Here is an 11,215-nt window from a genome sequence, read left to right on the forward strand (position 1 = left end):
ATTTAAAAAACCCAGTCAATGTTATTGTCCTTGTTTCCTCTCCAGCTCACTCCTGGAGGGAAGGGCCCCAGGAAGGCGATGCGGGCAGTGGGCTGGCGTGGATGAGGCATGGTCTCTGTGTGCCCAGCACCCGGCATACGCCCGTCGGCACAGCCCAAACACTAGCACCTCCTTTCATACCGAAAGGTACCATGCCTGGCTCAGATGATCAAATACGCGGACAACCCAGTGGAGGGGAAGACGATGAAGGAACATGGGTCAGCAATCCTGAACGTCCTGTGCTCACAGCGAGGACACAGGGGAAACCGAGGCCTGCTATGCGGGGAGAGCTGTAGAGGGACGGAGGGTGGGCTTGGGGAACCCTGAATGGAGCCCTGCAGTGGGCGGAATTGTGGCCCCCCAGGAGACAGGTTGAAGTGTTAAGCCCCAGCACCTCAGAATGTACCCAGCACAGCGCCCTGGGATCACCTTCCATTCTCCTGTCCCTGTCCCTCCTGTAAGGAAGGAAGGCTGTCTCCATTGGACTTGGACCATCAGCTCTTAGGACAGTGCCTCGCACCCGCTGGACGTGGTTGTCCAGGAAGGAAAGAAGGGAGGGAGGAACAGAGGCCGGTAAGGAGCCAAGGATGAAGAGGGAGAGGAAGAAAGGAAGAGAAGGGACTACACATTAGAAACGGAGTCACTACAGACGTCAACACTGGGCAAGACGCGTGCCCGTCTCATAGACTTTGCAGCTGTCCACAGGCTACTTCAGCCGGAGTAGAGCCAGCCCTGGTCCGCTACAACTTTGTCCTTAGAGGCGGGGAGAGACACAGTGGGAAGAAAGGGACACGGGCGTGAAGATGGAGGCAGAGTGGGGAGTGATGCAGCTGGAAGGCCGGGAACACCAGGAATTGCTGGCAAGTTCCGGTGGCTGGAAAGGGACAGGAAGGACCCTCTCTAGAGATTTCAGAGACAGCACGGCCCTGCAAACAGCTTGATTTCTGACTTCCAGCTTCCAGGACTGTGATGAAACTGATTTCTGACATTTAAGCTCCCCTGTGTGGGACACTCTGTCACCGCAGCCCTGGGGGACAGACAGACAAGCCTTGCCGAGCAAACACGGCCCCCGCACACCTGAATGCCTGAGCAGAACAGTGTGGGCATGTGGTTTTCACGCCCTGCACAGATTCACATGGACGCACCCCAGCTTCCAGTTCTTGGGCCTGCACCAAAGAGAGATGTCCCCCGGGCGCTGGACCAGCCCAGGGGCTCACCGGGACCAGGTGGCCCACTTAAAACAAGATACCTAAGGGGACTTGGAGGTATCCACCATGGGGCAGTGTGCCGGGAAGCTAGAATGTCCAGGGCAGTGGGGCAGTACCCTGGGGTCTTCTAGCCCCAGGCCCACAGGGATGGAGGAGACTGCAGCCCTGCCTGGGAGAAGGGAGATGTGTCTCAGGGCCACAGCTGGAGGGGAGCAGCAACCTTCAGCTGAGGAAGCCACCTGCCCAAGGCCCAGGGAGGAGCAGGAGTGGACACCGCACCGCCACCTCTGTCTCTCTCCTGCTTCCAGTCCTGCAGGGGGTCCTGGCACCAAACCCAGATGGAGCTCCAGGGCAGAGGGTCGGGACAGCCCAGGGGAGAACGCTGCCTAGGGGTGAAAATCTGCAGGCTCCAGGGTCTCCCCTTCCTTACCCGGAAGCGAGAGGTTGAGCCTGCAACCGAGGTCCCTGCAGCAGTAACCTTGAACCTCCACGCCAAGTGCCGCGGTGGAAGCCCTGGGGGATGGGGAGACATAAACAGAAGTAGTGCAGCCAGCTCCGCCTTCGAGGAGGAGGGGGTGCCACACAAGCAGGCTTGTGAGCCTCGTGTCGGGGGCGTTGGGGTAAGGTGCTGAGGCCTGGGATTCCGTGCAGTGCTTATCCTGGGTCCCGCCGCACCGGAACAGGACGATGGCTGAGCCACATCCCACTCTGTGTGTGGTAGAGGAGAGAGGACGGGGAAACTCTTCGTTTATAAAGAAATACCCAATATGTCCCACTCTACTTAATTTGAATTTTCAGGTTGATGTCTCTGTTAGCATTTTCTTTCCACGTGCACACTGAGCCGGCGGTCAGTCCTCGGTCCCACCCCTCCCACTCTGTCATCTCTGCTGTGCTGGGCCCAGGGCCTTCAGGGTGACTTGGGCTGGGTGTGGAACCTGCTCTCACGGCTCCTTCCTGAGGTCGTGGATGCTGCATCAGGGGTGCACAAGGGAGGCCTGAGCACGTGACAGTCGGCCGCAGTGATTTCCCATCTGATTGCATCTGTGCACGGCAGCGCAATTGCCAATCAGTCCTGGAGGAGATTAGACTCAGAGCGGCCTTTTCGTGGCTGGGTCCCACCTTGGGATGATTCTAAAAGGAGGCGGCTCTGAGGACGGCCACTTAGGTCTTGGAGGCCCTGCCACTCAGGGAGCCTGCAAGCTTCTCGGGCTGCAGAGGGGCTGGCGTGTTTTCCAGCCCCCGGATCCCCGCTGGGTCTGCCAAGCCCCAATCAAGGGGCTGTCGCCGAGGCTGCCCCTTCAAGAGATTGCTGGAGGTGGGTGGGGAGGGGATGGACCATCTCGGGACCCCTAATGGGCTCAGTAGCCTGGGGCTTTCACCACAAACCCCAGGCACGGGGAGCATGGCAGGCGACCCCTGAGTGTGCTGTGGCCTCCGTCACAGGCAGGTTGGGAGGTTGTCACCAACAGTGCCAGCCACAGCAGCCCAGCCCTGTGACGGCTCAGACATGTGGCCACCAGTCGGATCAGGGAACCTGCAGAAGGCAAGAGGCGTGTCTCGGTTCCACTTACAGTCCTCTGAGAACTCTCAGAGAGAAATCACAGATTCTGAATTTGAATATGAAGAATAATAAATGAGAAATGAAATCACAACTCATATATCGAATGCACCACTGCGCAGCAGACAGGACTTTAAATAGATTCACGTAGACACATTTCAAAACGGGCAATTTGGATATTAAAACTCAAATGGCATCAGTGACTTTAGGGAGCATGTGCCAGTGACACGCACACAGCTGAGACACACAGTGACACGCACACAGCTGGGACACAGTGACACATGCACGGCTGGGACACACAGTGACACACACACAGCTGGGACACACAGCAACACACACATGGCTGGGACACACAGTGACATACACATGGCTGGGACACAGTGACACACGCATGGCTGGGACACACAGTGACACACACATGCCTGGGACACACAGTGACACATGCATGGCTGGAACACATAGCAACACATGCATGGCTGGGACACACAGCAACACACACATGGCTGGGACACACAGTGACACATGCGTGGCTGGGACATGCAGTGACATGCACACGTCTGAGACACACACAGCGCTGAGACATGCAGTGACACACACATGGCTGAGACACACACATGACTGAGACACGCACATGACTGAGACACGCACACGGCTGAGACACAGCCCTGCTCATGGCACCTGCCTGATGGGGCTGCTGCTAGTCACGAAGACCACTCCTGGGTTCAGGAGGCCCCTCTGCCAAAAACTCCCCTGCTCTCCTCAACCTGTGTCACTGAGAGGCTCCCCCACCTTGGCACAATGCCCTGTGATCACCTTCCATTCTCCTGCCCCTGTCATTCCTATAAGGAAGGAAGGCTGTCTCCATTGGACTTGGATCCTCAGCTCTTAGGACAGTGCCTGGCACCTGCTAGACTTGGTTGTCCAGGAAGGGAAGAAGGGAGGGAGGAAAAGAGGAAGGGAGCCAGTAAAGGATGAAGAGAGAGAGGAAGAAAGGAAAAGAAAGAGGAAGAAAGGAAGGGAAAAAGGAGGGAAGGAAGGGAGGGAGAGAGGAAGGGAGGGCAGAAAGAAGGAAGAGAGGAATGAGGGAAGGGTGGGAGGCAGGGTGGGAGGCAGGGAAAGAAAAGAAGAGGGAAACGTGGGAGGAATGGAGGGAGGGAGGAAGGGGGTAGAAGGAAGTGGCGAAAAAGAGGGGCGGGGAGGAACGAAGGGAGCGGGGAAGGAAGGAATGAAGTGTAGCCAAGCAAAGAGAGCAGGAAAGGATTAAAGCCAAAACCCTCCAGATAGTGTGGACTGATCCCCTTCCTTCTGTGGTGTCTAAAGGAGAAAGGGGTGTTTCTGGGACAGCACAGGAGAGCCAAGAGTCTGAGCAGGGGTGAGCTGAGGTCCTGCCACCCCAAATGCCACGGCACCCTCAATGGACCCCAGACGAGCTCTCTAACAGGGGGAGTCTGTTCTAGCGATCGGCTGGCACAACTTGCCACAAGTCGTATTTTATTTATTATATTTATTTCTGCCATCCTCTACTTGCATTATCTAGGAAGAAAAGGCATTCTTTTGCGACAGGTTAAGGTGGGGTAGAAGTAAATGAAGGGACATGATAAAAAGGGGTTCTCCCGACAATGCAGTGTGGCCTTGCCTGCTCCAGGACAGGCCTAGCTCTGTTCTAAACATCACAATTGTGTGACATTCAGATAGACACAGGCGGCATGACACCAGCGTGAGAAGTACTTCTAGTCAATCTTGGAAAGGTCGCAACCTGTCTCAGGACCTGCCAATGCTTTTAAAAGGATGAAGACATTTACTCTGACCTTAATAAGGAGCACACGGATCTCTGCCTTTTTACTGGTGTAAACCACCAGTGCTCATCTGCAGCGGAGTGGTCTGAAGCAAAGAGCTATAAAATCTCAGTTTAAAGCCTTGAGCTAGGAGGCTCCAAATTTGGGTGCAGACGGCTTTTCCCATCACGGATAATGAGATATTTTACCTTTGACAAAAGACTATACATGTAATGTACACAGCTATGTAAGCTCTAACCTTGCAGATTCTTTCTGTGGGGGTGGCATGGGGTATTCACAAGGTAAATGTGAGGGGATACCTCTCATCCCACGGCCCCTTTTCTGGGAGTTGAGCTGCATCAGCTTCCTTCTGCAGACGCTTTTGCACTCAGACACGGAGCCGTCCTTCTGTTCTAAGAGAAGCAGTGAGGAAACAACTGCTTAGGCATGTTCCAGAAATCCCCAAATGCAAAGAGTAATTATAGTCTTTTTTTTTTTTTTTTTTTTTTTTTTTTTTGAGACAGAGTTTCACTCTTGTTGCCCAGGCTGGAGTGCAATGACGCGATCTCGGCTCACCGCAACCTCTGCCTCCCGGGTTCAAACGATTCTCCTGCCTCAACCTCCCGAGTATCTGGGATTACAGGCATGCGCCACCACGCCCGGCTAACCTTGTATTTTCAGTAGAGACAGGGTTTCTCCATTTTGGTCAGGCTGGTCTCGAACTCCCGACCTCAGGTGATCCGCCCACCTCGGCCTCCTGAAGTGCTGGGATTACAGGCGTGGGCCACTGCACCTGGCCAATTATAGTCATTTTTAAATTTCATGAAAATAGTTGTTGAAAAGAAACACCCATAAAACTGTTATGTGGTCATGCTCAGTCAGTGCATGTGGAGAGGTGAGGATAATGACCACAATTTGGGTTATTTAAATGGCTTATTTGTTCATTTCATTTGGATAAATACAAATACATATTTATGAGCTCTTATAAGATCTGTTTGATTTTACTAGCCAGGCACGGTGGCTCATGCCTGTAATCCCAGCACTTTGGGAGGCCGAGGCAGATGGATCGCCTGAGGTCAGGACTTTGAAACCAGCCTGGCCAACATGGTGAAACCTTATCTCTACTAAAAATACCAAAAAAAAAAAAAAAAAAAAAAAAAAAGCCATGCATGGTGGCGTGTGCCTGTAATCCCAGCTACTCCCCAGCTACTCGGGAGGCTGAGGCAGGAGAATTGCTTGAACCCAGGAGGCAGAGGTTGCAGTGAGCCAAGACCACGCCACTGCACTCCAATCTGGGCAACAGAGCGAGGCTCCATCTCAAAAAAAAAAGAAAAACCATACTAAATATATGAAGTACAGTGCCATCTCATTATGCTTTTAATTTCCATTCATTCCCCAGTGAATAATGATACTGAGCTTTTTAAAAATGTGTTTATGGCCGGGCGCGGTGGCCCATGCCTGTAATCCCAGCACTTTGGGAAGCTGAGGCGGGCAGATCATGAGGTCAGGAGATCGAGACCATCCTGGCTAACACGGTGAAACCCCGTCTCTACTAAAAATACAAAAAAATTAGCCAGGCGTGGTGGCAGGCACCTGTAGTCCCAGCTACCCGGGAGGCTGAGGCAGGAGAATGGCGGGAACCCGGAAGGCGGAGCTGGCAGTGAGCCGAGATCGGGCCACTGCACTCCAGCCTGGGCAACAGAGCAAGACTCCGTCTCAAAAAAACAATAAAAAAAATGTGTTTATTTGCCACTCATGTATTTTCTTTGTTAAAGTACGTGTTCAAATGCTTTGCCAATTTCATTCCCGGGTTGCTTGGTTTCTTATTGTTGAGTTTTGAGGGTTCTATATATGGCCTGTATGCAACTCCTTTGCTAGGTATATGATTTTAAAATATTTTATTCTAATCTGCATCTTGTATTTTTACTCTTTTAGCACTGACCTGGACAGAGCAAAAGGTTTTAATTTTGATGAAGTTCAGTTTATTAATTTTTCCTTTATGGCTTTTACTTTCAATGTTGTATCTAAGAATGTTTTGCTAAACCAAGGTCACAAGGGGTTTCCTTCTATATTTTCTTCTACATTTTTTAGAGTTTCATGCTTTACATTTAGGTCTGTGATCAATTTTTAGTTAATGGAGACCTTTTTATTTTCACATGTAGATGTCTAATGGTTTCAGTGACATTTGTTAAAAAGACTCTCTTCTCCATTGAATTGTCTTTGTACTTTTGTTGAAAATCAATTGTGCAAGTCTATCTCTGGACTCTATTCTCTTCTATTGATCTATGTCTATCTTTTTGCTGGTATAACATTGTCTTGATTATGGTATCTTTAGAATAAGGATTGAAATGAAGTAGTTTCAATTTTCTTCTTTTTCAAAATTGTTCTGGTGTTTCTAATAACTTGCCTTTTTGGGTAGATTTTAGAATCAGGGTTTGGCTATTCTGAAAGAGTCCTGGGGAGGTTTGGTTAGGGTGGCCTCGGACCTATAGATCCAGCTGGGAAGAATGTACATGGCAACCATAGTAAGTCTTCCAATTCATGCACACAAATATCTTTTCATTTATATGGATTTTCTTTGATTTCTTTCATCAGCATTTTATAGTTTTCAGCATACATATCCTGCAATATTTTTTCATATGAATACCTAAATGTTTTATTTTTATTCTGCATTGGAAATGGTTCTTAAAAAAATTGATTTCCAGTTGTTTATGTCTAATATATAGATACACGACTGATTTCTTTTTAGCATATTGACTGTATCCTGTGAGTCTGCTAGACTTCACTGTTCGTTCTAGGACTTTCTATGTAGATTCCATAGGATTTGTCATGTAGATGATCATGTCATCTGTAAATGGAGACAGTTTTATTTCTTCCTTTACAACCTGTATGCTTTGTTTTGTTCCCTGCTTAGTTTCATTGGCAAAGATTTCCAGTATTACGTTGAATAAAAAATAGAAGCAGTGACATTGAACAAATTTACCTTTTTCCTAATTTTATGGGATAAGCAGTCAGTCTTTACCACTTAAGTATGATGTTAGCTATAGGTTTTTTGTAGATTACTTTTAACAAGTTAAGGGCATACCCTTTTATTCTCAGTTTGCTGAGAATTTCTATCAAGAATGAATGTTACATTTTTGTTAAATTCTTTGTCTGTGTCTAATTAGGTGATCACATGAGTTTTCTTCTTTTCTTAATATGATGACATATTAATTTTCAAATGTTGAGCCCACTTTGCATTCCTGGAATAAACCCCCCTTGGTCATGATATATTATCCTTATTATACATGGGCAAATTCTTCCTGCTATTTTTTTGCTGTGGGTTTCTGTATCTCTGCCCATGAGGTATATGGCTCTGTAGTCGTCCTGTAATGTCTGTCTGTGTTTTGATATCAGGTCGTGGGTTTCTGTATCTCTGCCCATGAGGGATATGGCTCTGCAGTTGTCCTGTAATGTCTGTTGGTGTTTTGTATCAGGATAACGTTGATCTCATAAATGACTGGAACGCGTTCCCTCCTCTCCTGTTTTCTGGAAGAGTGTGTGCACAGCTGTCATCTCTTGCTCTGATGTTTGATAGCATTTTCCAGTGAAGCCATCTGGCCTTGGAGTTTCTTCTCTTTTTTTAAGTTCTTAAGTGTGGCTTCAATTTCCTCAATAGTATGAAGTAATTCCAGTTACCTCTCTCTTTTTGAGTGAGTTTTGGTTGTGTCTTTCAAAAAATTGGTCATTTAATCTGTTATCGAATATGGTTAGAGTGTGGTTCATAGTATTCCTTTGTTACCTTTTCCATGTTTCTAGACCTGTAGTGATATCCTCTCTCTCACTCCATAAGCTGGTAAACTGTATCTTGTCTTTTTCCTTCCTTATTCTGGATAGAGGCTCATTGAGTTTACTGATATTTTCAAAGAGCCAACTCTTGGCTCCATTAGTTTTCTCCGTGGCTCTGTCTCCAGTTCCAATGTTGCCTGCTGTTTTATTGTCTTCCTTCTGTTTGCTCTGATTTAGTTTGCTTTTATTTTGCTTCTTAAGGTGAAAGGCTAAATTCTTGATTTCAGACATTACTTCTTTTCAAATGTAACAATGTGAATCTATAATTTTGGGTGTAAGCACTGCTCTAGCTGCATCCTTCTAGTTTTGATATGCTGTGTTTTCATATTTATTCAAGTAAAAATATTTTCTAAGTTCCCTTGTTTCTTTCTCTTGACTTATGGGTTATTTAAAAATATGTTATCTAATTTCCAAATGTTTGCAGATGTTCTGGGTATCTTTTTGTTATTGACTTCCTTCTTAATTCCATTATGTTTAATCGATACAGTTTATACAATTTTGGTTCTTGTGCATGTTCAAAGGCTTGCTCAGTGGTGTGCAACATGGTCCACCCTAGGGTGCGTTTCTGGTGCCCTCACTGTGTGGAGTCTTCACACCAATCAGGCCAACAGGGCCATCGTGGTGCCTGGTCTTCTCCGTCATGGGTAATTATCTGTCCTCTTTGTCCACTGATGACTGGACTATATAAGGGTTGGCATCTTCTGATTCTGTTTCGTGCTGAAACTTGGCCAGGGATTGTTTGTCGTGCTGAGTGATTCCAGACAAGTCTGGGTCTTGTGAAAACCTTCTGGAGGATGTTGATGCCTGTGACTGGCTTGTGTTAATAGGCGGTTGCCCAGCTAGGCTCAGGGTGCAGGTTTCCAGGGCCACGGAAACTTCTATGGGTGCTGGTTCCAGGCCCGACTGCTCTCACGGCCTTTGCCTTGCTGTCTGGGGCCAGCCCTCACATGTACCCTGGAGCTTAGTCTGGGAATAGGGTCTCCACTGCCTTCACTGCACTTCTGCGGTCGATCGCATGCATCTACGGCTTTATACACAGAACTGGGGAATCCCCTTCCCCAACATTCTTCTTTCCGGGATTTCCCCACAGTCTGCAGCATTTAAGGTCATGTTCCCGGTGTCTGTGGCCAGATGATTGGGATTATCTCAGAAGTTCTGCCCTCAACACTCCTGTGCAGCTTCACGGCCAAGAGCAGCAGGAAAAACAGAGAAAACAAGCCGAGCGTGGTGACTTGTGCCTGTAATTCCAGCACTTCGGGAGGCCAAAGCGGGTGGATCACCTGAGGTCGGCAGTTTGAGACTAGGCCGGCCAACATAGTGAAACTCTGTCTCTACCAAAAAAAAAATTGGCCAGGTGTGGTGGTGAATGCCTGTGATCCCAGCTACTTGGGAGGCTGAGGCAGGAGAATCACTTCAACTGGGGAGGAGGAGGTTGCATTGAGCTGAGATCGCACCACTGCACTCCAGCCTGGGCGACAAGAGCCAAACTCCGTCTCAACAAAAAGAAAGAGAGAAAACAATAACTGGGACACCCCCCACCGGCTTCATTCTTCACACATAAGGGCCCTTTCCCAGGTCCTCTGACCAGAGAGATTGGGCCTTCTCTCAGGGTCTCAGGTGACGGCACCATTCATGCGGCAATGCAAGTGGGGCTAGCTTCAGGAAAGAAGGGAAGAAAAACAGCGATGATCTCCATGTACTCTGGCTCACAGGGGTGCCTTTCCAGCCTCTGGCAAAAGAGCTGGGCTTCCCTTAGAGTTCTGCTGCCCATGCCTGAGGAGGAGGTCCCACGTCAGCTCACTGTTATGGACCCTATTTTTGCGGCCCCAAAACTCGTATGTTGAAATCCTAACTCCAAACGTGATGGCATGAGGAGTGGAGCCTTTGAGAGTGACCAGGTCATGAAAGTGAAGCCTCAGGGTGGGATTAGCGTTCTTATAAAAGAGCCGCAGTTGCTCCCCCAGCCGTCCCACCCTGTGAGGACACAGCCAGAAGGTGGCTTCTGTGAACAAGGAAACCCTCGCAGGACGTGGAATCTGTTGGCACCTCAATCCTGGACTTCCAGCCTCCAAACTGTGAGAAATAAGTTCCTGTTGTTTATACAACACTGGTTTACGGTATTTTGTTGTAGTGTCCAAAGTGGACTAAGACATTCACCTTTGCTTCCAACTTCACAGATACAAAGAGGAAAGAAATCCAGAGGACTTACCATGGGCATACTGGTTTTCCTCATGTTTGGACCTCTTTCCCGATCTGCCTTCCCCTGTTTACTTTCAGTGGCATCAGGTGGTCACTGCTTGTATTTCACCCAAGTTCTCCGTTTAATCAGGGGGAGCTGGAAGCAGCAGTGGGCTTATGCCCTCTAAGCCAGCACCAGATGCCCCCCCCTTTGATTTTGAGCTTTGTCTTGCTTTCTGACCCAAAAAGTTATTCCAAGCTCACCTGCTCGACACCCCAAATCAACCTTTTCTCCCAGAAGTCTTGCTTCCTTTGATCAAATAATTGAGAAGCACAGATCTGGGTGGTAGTATGCTCATTGCTAGAGGCGTGCAGTGCTTCTAGACTCTTCCAGCAGGCCAGGTTAAAGATTAGAAATTATGGGCTTATACGGATACCTCCAATTAAAACCCTACAACACAAGGCCTGATGTCTTCTTCCTCACCTTCCACTATCACATACTGGTCTCTCCTTTCCCTATGGCAATGCCCCTGGTTCCTAAGAAGGTCAAAATATTTACTTATTCGTTCTACTCTCTAATATGTGCAAAATAGATTCAGAATTATTATATCAATACAAACCCATGAAGC

The sequence above is a fragment of the Homo sapiens genome, chromosome 13, assembly GCF_000001405.40.
Source record: "Homo sapiens chromosome 13, GRCh38.p14 Primary Assembly".
NCBI lineage: Eukaryota > Metazoa > Chordata > Mammalia > Primates > Hominidae > Homo > Homo sapiens.